The sequence below is a fragment of the Homo sapiens genome, chromosome 1 (assembly GCF_000001405.40).
Source record: "Homo sapiens chromosome 1, GRCh38.p14 Primary Assembly".
NCBI lineage: Eukaryota > Metazoa > Chordata > Mammalia > Primates > Hominidae > Homo > Homo sapiens.
Window position 1 is genome coordinate 15,849,192 of NC_000001.11, and position 15,762 is coordinate 15,864,953.

The 15,762-nt window shown below is 43.4% G+C and overlaps 1 protein-coding gene across 1 annotated transcript in view, besides 2 other annotated features; it reads left to right on the forward strand.

The window, feature by feature from the left end:
* The window catches only part of SPEN (spen family transcriptional repressor), a 92,750-nt gene that overhangs the window by 1,485 nt on the left and 75,503 nt on the right, over positions 1-15,762 (forward strand). The gene's annotated exons all lie outside the window — the stretch shown is intronic.
* Positions 94-688: an enhancer, noted in NCBI's record as "H3K27ac hESC enhancer chr1:16175780-16176374 (GRCh37/hg19 assembly coordinates)". NCBI's record gives its function as "activates a minimal SCP1, AML or CMV promoter by ChIP-STARR-seq in naive H9 embryonic stem cells {active_cell/tissue: H9 hESC(naive)}" and the evidence as "EXISTENCE:reporter gene assay evidence [ECO:0000049][PMID:30033119]".
* Positions 3,068-3,137: an enhancer, noted in NCBI's record as "active region_250". NCBI's record gives its function as "activates an Ori minimal core promoter by ATAC-STARR-seq in GM12878 lymphoblastoid cells {active_cell/tissue: GM12878}" and the evidence as "EXISTENCE:reporter gene assay evidence [ECO:0000049][PMID:35858748]".

Below are 15,762 nucleotides of genomic sequence, written 5' to 3' on the forward strand. Positions count from 1 at the left end.
TTGTCCTCGAAAATGACAGTTTATTCCGATATTTAAGACCCTGGAAGGTTTTAAGTTTGGCTTTTAATTTCCCTTACTATGTAGTGAGTGAAGGAAATTATGGAGCGTCCTCATTAATGAGTCACCATGGGAAAAATAGATTGCGTCGCTCGCTTTGAGCCGCTTGGATAAGGAAATGGAAGCAGCGGCGGCGGAGCTCCTGTCTTTTAAATGGAGGATCATTGATTGTGTTGGTGGTTGCTGTTACTGGGGCATTAAACCCTCGCCGCTGGAGCGCGCGTCTGCGCGTGTCCGCGTGTGAAAAGGAGCCGGGAATCGTGGGGCCATTCATAACCTGCTTGAGCTGTCCTCGGCAGGCCGGGGGGAGGTGCGCGCTTCCAGGGACTCTCCCGGTGTTTACTACGTCGTGCCTGAGAAACCAGGCGGGGGCGGGGGGAGGCAGGGAGCAAAAATTCACCTCTGTGCCCTAGGATGAAGGGGAGACCACGGGCTGGATTGGGAAGCAGATGGGAACTTTCTCTTCCTGGCGCTGCTCCACCCCTTACCCGCCCCCCACCTCCTGGCTTCTCCTCGAGTATCGTCAGTGTTTTGATGGAAAAATCATTTAGGTGTACATTATTGGAGTGGAAAAACCACTTAGATGTGCTCACTTTAATCCCCTGTGGACTTTCTCTGTAGGTCTCTGCCTGGGAAATTCGTATGCACCGATGTACAAGCACGTGCATTGCAGCATTCGCTCGCTCCTCAGTGTTATGTGCCTAGACGTGTCATTTCTCATTATGCAGATTCCAGAGACATTGCATGCTTATGGCTGGGAGTTTGGCCCCTCTGCAAGATGAGGGGGCAGAGAGAAGAAAGAGGAAATCGTCCCAGGCAGCTTTGGAAGGGTTCTTAGTGGACGGTGCTGCGGTCTGGCTTGTGTGAATGACTTTCTAAAATGGCGGCCAGGACCCACTTTATGTGGGAATCAGCAGAGCCGATCTCAGAATGCACAGAGGGAGGAGGGGGCGGAGGATTCGAGCTGCCTTGGAAAGCGGCAGTCTGGAGGAACATTACTGTATTAAAAACGGCTTAGCTGGCAGTTTGCTCACGACTGCATTCAAAGGAGTATCTTACCTATTGCAGAGTAAAAGCAGATGCTACTGATAAAAGCAGGTTATTTTAAAACTAAGCAGATCATGTGTCCCTGAAATTCTTTTATTTTAAAGGTTTTTTTTTTTCATTTTTAAACAAATCTATTTAGTTGTTTAAATAGACAGTACATTTTTATGGGTTCAAAGCATGTGAAAGGTATACAGAGAAAAATCTCCACCCCTGACCCTGGAATTCCCAGTTGCCACACTTCCTCCCCTCACCCCCCAAAATCCAGGTAATGTCTATTTCTGGTTTCTTGTTTATCTTTCTGCATGTACAAGAAATGTTCCTGCTGATCCAGCTGTGGAGCTAAGTGGACCTTGTTTGGAGGAACTCAAGGCCTTTTATCCCTATTGTGGGATATATTTTGTAAAATGTGTGATTGCTACTAGGAGTAAAAGTGAAATCTGAATAATTTAAGTGAAAGGAATAAAAAGGTAGTTGTACCAGAACGATGGCTCTGCAAGAAAATGAAATGGTATTCACTTCTGGTGTCTTGTACAAATCAGAATGAGAAAAACCATGCAATACCTATATTAAAACTGAACTTTAAGTGCCTACTCTTATCCTTTTCCCTAGCTGATTACATTAATAACTGTTTTACAGGATTAAGAGGTGTACACTGGGAATACATTATATAAAACGTTTTCAAGATGAATGTTCTCTTAACAGTGATTAGGCTTTTGTAGTAAGTGTTTGCATTTTACAAAAAGATTAAACCAGACAGCTTTGGGGACAGCTTAGAGACATTTTAACAGAAAAAAGAGGTCAGTCAGTTCTTTAAAAATTTTTATATTTATTTTTAAATTTACATTCTGATTAGTTTTGTTTGTTTGTTTGTTTTTAAATGGACAGTAGATTGAGGGGTGGATGGCGATTTGGCTTTTTCCTCCCCAGTGCCAAAGAAAGACCAAATCCTTAAAACATAATCAGAACATTTACAAAAATTGGCTTTTCTTTTCTTGCAATAATAATAAATCTGTTGTTATTTTTACAGTTTTCAGTTTGCGGATTTAAAAAAATTAAATGAGAACTATTTCTGAATCGGGTTTTAGTTAACAAAGATTCATTACAGGGACACAATAGAGAAAGTCCTTTCCTTTGTATGTTAGCTGGGTTGAAGGGGGAAGGGAGGAGTTATACAATTGGTTCCTGTCTTTTAGTTATGAGAGGGAGAGAGGTGTCTGCAAAGGCGACTCCTTGAATTAGAATGAGCAAATGAATAAAACCCTTAAAATATTTAACATCTTTATCTTTTCAGATTTTAAGTAAGTTGCGAATTTAGTTCTTCCCATCCATCTCCAGTTTTAGAGACTAGGTTAAAGATTATGCGGAGGTAAACTGAGGTAGCCCCTCGTGTAAAAATATTGTTAAAGAGGCTGGGTGCGGTGGCTCACGCTTATAATCCCAGCACTTTGGGAGGCCGAGGCGGGCGGGTCACGAAGTCAAGAGTTCAAGACCAGCTTGGTGAACATGGTAAAACCCCGTCTCTACTAAAATACAAAAAATTAGCCAGGTGTGGTGGTGTGCATCTGTAGATCCAGCTACTTGGGAGGCTGAGGCAGGGGAATTGCTTGAACCTGGGAGGCGGAGGTTTCAGTGAGCTGAGATCGTGCCACTGCACTCTAGCCTGGGGGACAGAGCAAGACTCCGTCTGGGGAAAAAAAAAGAATGAGACCCATTTAAAAATGTAATTTGTTTTTGCTGATTTAAAATGTTTGATCACAGTGGTTTTCCTGAGTTAAATAGATGGAATAGCTATTACATTTTATGTATATTCAGATATCTTTACCTCTGGGACACAATATAAAATATTGAATTTCCTTTTCCTGACTACTAGGGATATTTTTAGACTTAAACAAATTTGACTCACTGTAGCCTGTATCATTGTTACGTCGCTTCTTCATTTGAGACCAGAAGGTTTCTATGAAACCACTTCTTGTCTATGGCCATACCACCCATACCACCCCCATCCCGTCTATGAAACCACCTCTGGTTTTGAATATTCTGATTTCCAATATCTATTTGCATGATAGGCTTTTGCACATTTTAAAAATAAAACAAAAAATTCAGAGTTATCTTAAAACATTAAAAATTACACAGAATAATTATAAAGCAATACAGAATAATACAGAAAAATTATACAGAATAATTATACAAAATAATAAAAAATAATAAAATGGGTTTTATTTCCCAAAAGGAACGCCCCTGGCAGATTGGAGGAAAATATAGGGCTCACTGCCAGGAAGAATGATAGTGTTTCGCTTGTGTGGAGGGCACCTTTTTCTAACTACCTTTGTTGCAGACTCGTGATTGCTGGGATTGTATTGTGTGGTATACTTATGAAGAGGTTTCAGGCTTGATTTATGGGACATTTTAAATCCTGTAAACACTAATCCTTTGGGAAAATTTATGTAGGAGGTTTTTCCAAATAGTCTTTCAAGTTTCCCTTTCCCCCTAGTTTGAAATTTTACTGAAATTTTTAAAAAATTGAAAATATTCCATGAAAACCAGCATATCCAATTGGAGACTATATATTTCTTTGCTTTTATTAATCGACTGACTGATTGATTGAGACAGAGTCACCCAAGATGGATCACGGCTCAATGCAGCCTTGACCTCCCAAGCTCAAGTGATCCTCCCACCTCAGCCTGCAAAGTAGCTAGAACCACAGGTATGTGCCACCACACTCGACTAATTTTTTATAGGGATGGAAGGTCTCCCTATGTTGCCCAGCCCTGGTCTTGAACTCCTGGGCTCAAGTGATCCTCCCACCTTGGCCTCCCAGAGTGCTGGGATTATAGGCATGAGCCAGCTTGCCCAGCCTTTGCTTTTATTTTTATTTTCATTATTTTTTTATTTTTATTTTTATTCATTTTTTTGAGATGGAGTCTCACTCTGTCACCCAGGCTAGAGTGCAGTGGCAGGATCCTGGCTCACTGCAACCTCCTCCTGGGTTCAAGCACTTCTTGTGCCATAGCCTCCTGAGTAGCTGGGACTACAGGCCCGTGCCACCATGCCTGGCTAATTTTTGTATTTTTAGTAGAGACAGGGTGTCACTGTGTTGGCCAGGCTGGTCTTGAACTCCTGACCTCAGGCGACCCACCTGCCTTAGCCTCCCAAAGTGCTGGGATTACAGGTGTGAGCCACTGTGCTGGCCTATTTTTATTTTTATTTTTATTTTTTGAGGTAGAGTCTTGCTCTGTCACCCAGGCTGGAGTGCAGTGGCTTGATCTCAGCTCACTGCAACCTCCTCCTCCTGGGTTCAAGCGATTCTCCTGCCTCAGCCTCCTGAATAGCTGGGATTATAGGCGCACACCACCATGTCTGGCTAATTTTTGTATTTTTTTTTTTTTGAGACGGAGTCTCACTCTGTCACCCAGGCTGGGCTGGAGTGCAGTGGCATGGTCTCAGCTCACTGCAACCTCTGCCTTCCCGGTTCAAGTGATTCTCCCGCTTTAGCCTCCCGAGTAGCTGGGATTACAGGCACTTGCCACCACACCAGGCTAATTTTTGTATTTTTAGTAGAGACGGGGTTTCACTATGTCGGCCAGGCTGGTCTCACTCCTGATCTCGTGATTTGTGCGCCTCGGCCTCCCAAAGTGCTGGGATTACAAGCATGAGGCACTGCGCCTGGCCTAATTTTTGTATTTTTATTAGAGTTGGGGTTTCACCATGTTGGCCAGGCTGGTCTTGAACTCCTGACCTCGAGTGATCTGCCTGCCTCTGCCTCCCAAAGTGCTGGGATTACAGGCGCCAGCCACCATGCCCGGCCTGCTTGCTTTTATTTTTAAAACATTTTTAGTGTTAGTTTGAGCTGTAGTTAACCATCCACAGTATTTAGAGTAAATAATGTAGTCTGAAAATACCTTGAGTGTATATATTCATTAAATTGGGCTCCTGAATTGTGTTATTAGATGATTTGAAATAAGTGCTGTTCAGCCCCTTGAAACACATATATTAGCCTGCTGAACAAGGAGACTAAATAAAGTACATTTATCTGTAGTTAAATTAACAATCTTCTTTACTATTTGGTTTAAATTTTTCTTTAAACTTATTATTTTTACTTGCCTTACAGCTACACATATTTTGAATGAAAATAGTGTACTCCTCTGTGGAAACCAATTAGAATGTTAATCATTTTATTAGAAAGCATGTAGTTTTTTTTTGTTTGTTTTTGAGACGGAGTTTCGCTCCTGTTGCCCAGGCTGGAGTGCAATGGTGCTATCTCGGCTCACCGCGACCTCTGCCTCCCAGGTTCAAGCAATTCTGCCTCAGCCTCCCAAGTAGCTGGGATTACAGGCATGCACCACCACACCCAGCTAATTTTGTGTTTTTAGTAGAGACGGGGTTTCTCTGTGTTGAGGCTGGTCTCGAACTCTTAACCTCAGGTGATCTGCCCACCTCGGCCTCCCAAAGTGCTGGGATTATAGGTGTGAGCCACCGCGACCGGCCAAAACCATGTAATTTTTATGTGATATCTAGCTGGTTTTTAGTGTGTGGAAATATGCTTTGCAGTGAGTGAAAAGATTTTTTGGATATAATTTTAAAGTATCTCAATATTCAGATTGTTCTCCCTACATGTATTCCTGTCTGCCAAGTTGAAGATTACAAGCATCTAAAAAAACCATAGTGGAATGGCTCTATAAAATCCTAACTTAAATTTAGTGAATTCTTGGATTTAATTACTTATGATTTCATTTTGAGTATAGAAATGAAATGAACTCTAGCATATTTAAAGATTTGTATTATATAGTTTAAGGAACTGCTCCAATCCTTAGAATTAAGGAAGATTTGTGGGAAAATTCAAATGAGAAACACTATTTCTTATCCTGTGTACCTGGTGCTAGATTTTTAGTCCAGCCTTAAATGCAAGGGTTGCATGTGCCTGTCTTTGTATTAGATGCTGTTTGGGTCACTAGGGAACATTGCCAAATGATATGAAGATTCTTTTAATTATACATTGTATTGACTTTGATTGTTATATTCCCATTATGTTACACATAACGTATGTACTTTTACATATAATACATTTATAGTTTCTTTGATTCTTAAAATTGACTAAAAGTGATTTTTTTTTTACACATCATTTATTTTTCCTTTGATTTAAAAACTGGGGCTTATGTACTCAAAAAACATTTTGCAGTTTACAAAACTATATTTAACATATAGCGATTTGTCTTTTACCAATCAAATTGGTAGGTAGAAGTATTTTGTCTGAACCAGTAATTTTTTTAAATTACACTGTTTGCAGCTGGGTGCGGTGGCTCATGCCTGTAATCCCAGCACTTTGGGAGGCTGAGGCGGGCGGGCGGATCATGAGGTCAGGAGTTTGAGACGAGCCTGGCCAACATGGTGAAACCCTATCTCTACTAAAAATACAAAAAATTAGCCTGGCATGGTGGCAAGCACCTATAATCCCAGCTACTCGGGAGGCTGAGGCAGGAGAATCGCTTGAACCCAGGAGGTGGAGGGTGCAGTGAGCCAAGATCATGCCATTGCACTCCAGCCTGGGTGACAGAGCAAGACTCTGTCTCGAGAAAAAAAAAAAATTATGCTGTTTGCAGTGAAGGCTCATTTGCATTCAAGATTATTTAAAAGTGTCCTTGGATTAAAAGATAAAAGAGTAATTTATTACTTTATTGTGTGAAAAGGATGCTAGAACTTTTTTTTTTTTTTTTTTTTGAGACGGAGTTTCTCTCTCTTGCCCAGGCTGGAGTGCAGTGGTGTGATCTCGGCTCACTGCAAGCTCCACCTCCTGGGTTCACACCATTCTGCGTCAGCCTCCCAAATAGCTGGGATTACAGGCACCTGCCACCACACCCGGCTAATTTTTTTGTATTTTTAGTAGAGACGGGGTTTCACCATGTTAGCCAGCATGGTCTCGATCTCCTGACCTCAGGATCCGCCCGCCTCGGCCTCCCAAAGTGCTGGGATTACAGGTGTGAGCCACCGTGCCCGGCCAGATGTTAGAATCTTTAATGAAGACCTCATCGATCAGAATTCAGGAGGAAGTACTAAACTTGGGTGGGAAAATACCTCTTTATTTTTAGTAACTTCTTACTGGGATCTAATATTTCCTTCAACTATAATATAGAGAAAACTAATAGTAGTTGTGATTTTCGTCACCAATACAAATCATATATATTTTCATATTTTATATTACAGTTTTTGCAAATACTTCATTATTGTCATCACAACTTGGAAATTACAGTGGCTGTTAGATCTGCTGCCAGATACTTTTTTTTTTTTTTTTTTTTGAGACAGAGTCTTGCTGTGTCACCCAGGCTGGAGTGCAATGGCATGATCTCGGCTCACTGCAACCTCTGCCTCCCAGGTTCCAGCAATTCTCCTGCCTCAGTTTCTCGAGTAACTGGAATTACAGGCGCCCACCACCATGCCCAGCTAATTTTTGTGTTTTTAATAGAGACGGGGTTTCACCATGTTGGCTAGGCTGGTCTTGAACTCCTGATCTTAGGTGATCCGCCCACCTCGACTTTACAATGTGCTGGGATTACAGTCATAAGCCACTGCGCCTGGCCTAGATACTTTTATTTGGTGTGTTAGTAAAGAAGCATATATATTACTATATGATCAATTTGTGTTATATATCTTAAAAATTCTATCTCAGGAATTTTGAACATACACAAAAGTGGACACAATAGTCAGTGAATCCCAAGTTCCTCTCGTTCATCTCCAACAACCATCAGTTATGGCCTATCTGCTTTTCTCCTTCCTGTATTTTTTTTTTTCTTGAGACAGGATCTCACTTTGTCACCCATGCTGGAGTGCAGTGGTGTGATCACTGCTTACTGTGTCCCTTCAACCTCCCGGGCTCAAGAGATCCTCCCATCTTAGCTTTCCAAGTAGCTAGGACTACAGGCGCACACCACCATACTCGGCTAATTTTTGTATTTTCTGTAGAGACAAGGTCTCACTCTGTTGCCCAGGCTGGTCTCGAACTCCTGGGCTCAAGTGATCTGTCTGCCTCGGCCTCTCAAAGTGCTGGGATTACAGGTGTGAGCCACTGCACCCAGCCTTTTTTTTTTGAGACGGAGTCTCGTTCTGTTGCCCAGGCTGGAGTGCAGTGGCGTGATCTCAGCTCACTGCAACCTCTGCCTCCCGGGTTCAAGCTATTCTTGTGCTTCAGCCTCCTGAGTAGCTGGGATTACAGGCGTGTGCTACCACGCCCAGCTAGTTTTTGTATTTTTAGTAGAGACAAGGTTTCACCATGTTGGCCAGGCTGGTCTTGAACTCCTGACCTCAAGTGATCTGCCTGCCTCAGCCTCCCAAAGTGCTGGTATTACAGGCGTGAGCCACCGTGCCCGGCCCCTATTTATTTATTTATTTTCATAAAAAAATTGTTTTTTTTCTACCCAGGTTGGAGTGTAATGGCATAATTATGGTTCACTGCAGCCTCGACCTCCTGGGCTTGAGGTATCCTCCCACCTTAGCCTTCTCAGTATCTGGGACTATAGGCATGAGCCATAATGTCCAGCTAATTAAAAAAATTTGTTTTAGAGACAAGGTCCAGTGGCTCACACCTGTAATCCCAGCACTTTGGGAGGCCGAGGTGGGTGGATCATGAGGTCAGGAGATCGAGACCATCCTGGCCAACATAGTGAAATCCTGTGTCTATTAAAAATACAAAAATTAGCTGGGTGTGGTGGCACATGCCTGTAATCCCAGCTACTTGGGAAGCTGAAGCAGGAGAATCACTTGAACCTTGTAGTTGGAGGTTGCAGTGAGCCGAGATCGTGCCACTGTACTCCAGCCTGGTGACAGAGCAAGACTCCGTCTCAAAAAGAAAGAGAAACAAGGTCTCACTATGTTGCCTAGGCTGGTCTTGAACTCCTGGGCTCAAGTGATCCTCCTGCCTTGTCCTACCAAAGTGCTGGGATTACAGGCATGAGTCACTGGGCCCAGCAAAAAAAAAAAAAGTTCAGGATCAGACTACACCTCCCACATCCCCTTTTCCCAAATTCACCAGTTAACATTTTGTCACATTTGCTCCATTACCCTCTGTTGTCTTTATGGCATGATGTCCTTCCACTCTAAATTCTCTAGTGTGTACCTCCCTGAAACAAGGACACTTTCCTGTATTGCCACCGTGTAGTCCTCCTAGTTAGGAAATCAGAATTGATACAACACTACCACCCAATGCATAGCCTAGGTGTATAGTAGGCTCTACCATTGAGGTTTGCATAAGTACGCCCTGTTGTTTTCACAATGATGAAATCACGTAAAGATGCATTTCTCAGAATGTATCCCTGTTCTTAAGTGATGCATGACTATATTTGGATGATCAGTTGGATTTTAAAAGAGCTTGGCCAGGTGCAGTGGCTCTTGCCTGTATTCCAGCACTTTGGAAGGCTGAGGCAGGTGGATCACCTGAGTTCAGGAGTTCCAGACCAGTCTGGGCAACATGGTAAAACCCAGGCTGTAAAAACAAAAACAAACAAACAAAAAAAACCCGGGCACGATGGCGCACACCAGTAGTCCCAGCTGTTCAGGAGGCTGAGGTGGGAGGATCACTTGGGCCCATGAGGCAGAGGCAGCAGTGAGCCGATACTGCGCTGCCGCACTCTACCCTGGGCAATAGAGAAAAACCCTGTCTCAAAAAACAAACAAACAAAAAACTTAATGTTTTGAAATAGTGTATAGCTATTATATGTGACATTGGTGTATCAGTTACTTTGAAATGAATCCTTCTGCTAACCAGCTATGTTCTTCAGTCAAACATATCTCTCCTTAATTAGTATTTTTAAAGTTTGAAATAGTTTTAAATTATATTGCAGTCGGTTTTCTTTTTTAGTTTTTTTTTTTTTTTTAATTAAGAGATGGGGTCTGACTATGTTGCCCAGGCTGCAGTGCAGTGGCTATACACAGGTGAGATCATAGCTCACTGCAGCCTCCAACTTTTGGCTTCAAGCAATATTTCCGCCTCAACCTGCCAAGTATGTAGGATTACAGGTATGTGCCACTGCACTCTATTTATAGTTCATTTTCTTTTTCTGTTTTCTTTTTCTTTTCTTTTTTTTTTTTTTTTTGAGAGGGAGTCTTGCTCTGTCGCCCAGGCTGGAGTGCAGTGGCGGGATCTCGGCTCACTGCAAGCTCCGCCTCCTGGGTTCACACCATTCTCCTGCCTCAGCCTCCCGAGTAGCTGGGACCACAGGTGCCCGCCACAGCCCCCGCCACCACGCCCGGCTAATTTTTTGTATTTTTAGTAGAGACAGGGTTTCACCGTGTTAGCCAGGATGGTCTCTATCTCCTGACCTTGTGATCCGCCCGCCTCGGCCTCCCAAAGTGCTGGGATTACAGGCTTGAGCCACTGTGCCCGGCCTGAAAAGGAACTTTCATCACAGCTTTGTGTCTCAAAGAGTTGTAGCATTTTATTTCCTGTATATTGGATTGATTTGAAATTTGTTTTAAAAATGATTTTCGAGAGGACTTTTCCTAAAAAGACTTCTTATTTCTGGAGAAAGCTTTTAGTTCTAGAGATGCTATAATTCAGAAGATTAAAATGTTGACTGGAGAGGCTCAGGTATTTAATAAGTATAAAGAATGATCAGTTAACATCTTTTTTTTTTTTTTTTTTTTTTTTGAGACGGAGTCTTGCTCTGTCACCCAGGCTGGAGTGCAGTGGTGCGATCTCAGCTCACTGCAAGCTCCACCTCCCGGGTTCATGCCATTCGCCTGCCTCAGCCTCCTGAGTAGCTGGGATTACAGGCGCCCGCCACCACACCCGGCTAATTTTTTGTATTTTTAGTAGAGACGGGGTTTCACTGTGTTAGCCAGGATGGTCTCGATCTCCTGACCTCGTGATCCGCCCGCCTCGGCCTCCCAAAGTGCTGGGATTACAGGCGTGAGCCACCGTGCCTGGCGTAGTTAACATCTTAAGGCATAGACTTCAGTGACTGTTTTTCTTTTTGAGACAGCCTTGTTCTGTTACCCAGGTTGGAGGGGAGTGGTATAATCCCAGCTCACTGCAGCCTCAACCTCCCAGGCTCATCAAGTGACCCTCTCATCTCAGCCTCCCAAGTAGCTTCAGAGGTGTGTGTGTGTGTGTGTGTGTGTGTGTGTGTGTGTGTGTATGTGTAGCTAAGGTCCCACTGTAGTGTGTGTGTGTGTGTGTGTGTGTGTGTGTGTGTAGATAAGGTCCCACTGTATTGCCCAGGATGGTCTCAAACTCCTGGTCTCAGGATATCCTCCCGCCTCAGCCTCCCGAAGTGCTGGGATTACAGGTGTGACCATTACAGGTGTGTGAGTCTGGCTATTAGTGACTTTTTTTTTTTTGAGATGGAGTCTTGCTCTGTCTCCAGGCTGGAGTGCAGTGGCACAATCTTGGCTCATTGCAACCTCCACCTCCCGGATTCAAGCGATTCCCCTGCCTCAGCCTCCTGAGTAGCTGGACTACAGGCACATGCCACGATGCCTGGCTAATTTTTTGTATTTTAGTAGAGACGGGGTTTCACCATGTTGGCCAGGATGGTCTCGATAACCTGACCTTGTCATCCGCCTGCCTCGGCCTCCCAAAGTGCCAGGATTACAGGAGTGAGCCACTGTGCCCGGACTTTTGTTTTGTTTTGTTTTGTTTCTGAGACAGTCTTACTCTGTGGCCCAGGCTGGAGAGCAGTGGCACGGTCTTGGCTCACTGCAATCTCTGCCTCCTGGGTTCAATTGATTCTGCCACCTCAGCCTCCCAAGTAGCTTGGACTACAGTTGCGTGCCACCATGTCCAGCTAATTTTTTTAAAAAATTGCTTTTTGGTAGAGATGGGGTTTCATCACATTGGTCAGGCTGAGTGACTTTTTTTTTTTTTTTTGAGACGGAATCTCACTCTGTCACCTAGGCTGGAGTGCAGATGGTGTGGTCTCGGCTCACTGCATTCCACCTCCCGGGTTCAAGCGATTCTCCCGCCTCAGCCTCCCAAGTACCTAGGACTATAGGCACATGCCACCACACCTGGCTAATTTTTGTATTTTTAGTAGTAACGGGGTTTCAGTATGTTGGCCAGGCTCGTCTCGAACTCCTGACCTCATGATCCACCTACCTCGGCTTCCCAAAATGCTGGGATTACAGGTGTGAGCCAGCGTGCCTGGCCCAGATACTTTTTTATGGAGTAAGGATAAAAGTCACTAGTTAAGTGAAATATTAGAAATATTTGTATATTTCCCATAGTTTTAAAAAATTATTATTTTACTGAAAAGTAAGTCCTAAGGATAGAAGCTGATTTCCTTCTCAGCAGTTGTACTGTAAATAACAGTATTAGTAAGCACCTTTTTAGAGTCCTTTCCATTCCCAGCAAGGACTCTCTTTTTTTTGTGGGGGGAGTAGTGACAGGGTCTTGCTGTGTTTCCAGGCTGGTCTCAAAACTCCTTGCTTTAAACATCCTCTCACCTTGGCCTCCCAGAATGCTGAAATAACAGGACTGGGCCGGGTGCGGTGGCTCACTCCTGTAATCCCAGCACTTTGGGAAACTGAAGCGGGTGGATCACAAGGTCAGGAGTTTGAGACCAGCCTGGTCAATATGGTGAAACCCCGTCTCTACTAAAAATATGAAAAAATTAGCTGGGCGTGGTAGCACATGCCTGTAATCACAGCTACTCAGGAGGCTGAGGCAGGAGAATCGCTTGAACCTGGGAGGCCGAGGTTGCAGTGAGCTGAGATTGCGCCACTTTACTCCAGCCTGGGTGACAGAGTGAGACTCCGTCTCAAAAAATAAAAAAACAAAAAACAAAAATTGCGGGAGTTAGCCACCATTCTTGGCCTTTTGAGGGACTCTTGATGTGGATTTTTGCTAATTTATGATTTAGTCTCTTGGCTTCTGCTAACTTCAGCTTTGTGTTTTGTAGCCTTCGTGTTTGGATCAGCTTGCCTTGCACCTTTTTTCTTAATCTAAGTGCTTTGTTTACTGTCATTACTTTAATAAATGTTTTATTTTGGTTATTAGCAGTTCTATTTACAATTATACTTCAGTTCTTCCTAGAAAAGTACTATGTAAATCAGATACATTTATGAAAGCTACTCATTAATTATTGTGAGAATAGTGTCCGAATGTTAGCTTAATGGTCATCGTGATTATTTATATTCCTGCACTTTACTTTTTGATTCTTGCAGTATAAACTCCTGTCTTGTTCTCTGGGGAGGAAGCACACTGTGAATTTTTTCCAAGATTGTCTAAAATATTCAGGCTTTTTATTTGCTCTAACCAGTAGAATCTAAAGATTACAGAAACTTTGGAATTTTTCTCCTCATAATTTGACAATCTTTTGAGAGGTTTGTCAGTTGAACACTGTCCCTTTGTTAAAAGTTAATTTTACTTAATAAATAATTTTTCATTAGATTGGAGTAAAATATAATGTGAGTATGTATGTGCATAAATAATTTTTTTTCGGTGAAGTGCGGGTAGCTCATGCCTGTAATCCCAGCACTTTCTGCTTTTTTTTTTTTTGAGACGGAGTCTCGCTCTGTCGCCCAGGCTAGAGTGCAGTGATGCAATCTCAGCTTACTGTAAGCTCCGCCTCCCAGGTTCACGCCATTCTCCTGCCTCAGCCTCCTGAGTAGCTGGGACTACAGGTGCCCACCACCATTCCTGGCTAACTTTTTGTATTTTTAGTAGAGATGGGGTTTCACTGTGTTAGCCAGGATGGCTTCGATCTCCTGACCTTGTGGTCTGCCTACCTCAGCCTCCCAAAGTGGTAGGATTACAGGTGTGAGCCACCGCTCCCGGCCGAATCCCAGCACTTTTCCCATTCTCAGTGGGTAATAAAAGGTAGTTGGGCATGGTGGTATGTACCTATAGTCCAGCTACTTGGAAGGCTTAGGCGGGCAGATCACTTGAACCTGGGAGGTTGAGGCTGCAGTGAGCCAAGATTGTGCCATTGGACTCCAGCCTGGGTGACAGTGACGCTGTCTCAGAAAAACAAAACAAAACTGCACATGCACACACACACAGACACATATAATTTTTTTCCTTACTGGAGTAATGAAGCCTGCAATAGTTCTGAAGAATGTCTGCATTCAGAGCTTTACTGGAAACAGATGCCTTTTCCCAGGAGTTGTAATTATCAAGTTTTCTATGTTCAGGAATCTAGGCACTCACCCTGGATTCAGTAAACAGATAGGGGTATAGTTTTATTGGTTGAATTAAGCTTATTCTTGGTCTTAACATTTTCTTAAAGCCTTTCTACTTAGAACCAATAAATAGTTTCTAATATAAAAAAGTAATCTGGCTGGGTGCAGTGGCTCATACCTGTAATCCCAGCACTTTGGGAGACCGAGACTAGAGGACTGCTTGAGTCCAGGAATTGGAGACCAGCCTAGGCAACATGTTGAGACCTCATCTCTATGGAAAACAAAAACATCAGCTGGGTGTGGTGGTGCCTGCCTGTAGTCCCAGCTGCTTAGGAGGCTGAGATAGGAGGATTGCTTGAGCCTGGGAGGTTGAGGCTGCAGTGAGCCATGATTGCACCACTGCACTCCAGCCTGGGCAACAGAGCAAACCCTTGTCTTAGAACAAAACAAACAAAAAAACTAATCTATTATGTTTTCAGCAATACTATTCACAATAGCCAAAAGGTGAATGCATCTCTAATGTCGATGACCAATGAATAGATAAACAGAATGCACTTATCAGATGTGTAATAAACAGAATTCATACAGTGGAGTATTCAGCCTTAGAAAGGAAGTTTTGACACATGCTACAACATTTGAAGACACTATGTAAGTGAAATAAGCCAGTTAACAAAAGAAGGAAAAGTGGACTGTATGATATACATATATGAGGTACCTAGCTACGGTAGTCAACTCCATAAAGACAGCAAGTAGAATAGTGGTTGCTTTTTTTTTTTTTTTTTTTGAAACAATGTCTCACTCTGTTGCCCAGGCTGGAGTGCAGTGGCTCGATCTTGGCTCACTGCAACCTCCTCTTCTTGGGTTCAAGTGATTCTCGTGTCTCAGCCTCCCAAGCAGCTGGGACTACAGGCGCTTGCCACCACGCCTGGCTAAGTTTTGTACTTTTAGTAAAGGTGGTGGTTTTGCCATGTTGGCAAGGCTGTTCTCAAACTCCTGACCTCAAGTGATCTGCCTGCCTTGGCTTCCCAAAGTGTTGGGATTATAGGCGTGAGCCTCTGTGCCGGCCGGTTTTTTTTTTTTTTTTTTTAATATTGTAAGCAGTGTTGTAGTAAGCAATTTTGTACTCTTGCAGACAAGTGCAGTTATACATGTATGATAAATTTTTGTGAATGGAATTTCTAGGTGTGTGAACTTAGGTTTGTGGGTTTTTTTTTTTTTTTTTTTTTGAGACAAGGTCTCGCTCTGTCACCCAGTCTGGAGTTCAGTGGTGTGATCATGCCCACTGCAGCCTGGAACTACTGGGCTCGAGCTCCCGTCTCAGCCTACCGAGTAGCTAGGGCTCAAGCTCCCGTCTCAGCCTACCGAGTAGCTAGGACTCAAACTCCCATCTTAACCTCTTGAGTAGCTAGGACTACTACTAAGTGCCAACACACCTGGCTAATGTTTTTATTTTTAGTAGAGAAGGGGGTAGGGTGGGGAGGTGGGGAGGGGTCTTGCTTTGTTCCCCAGGTTGGTCTTGATGTCCTGACCTCAAATCGTCCTCGCGCCTTG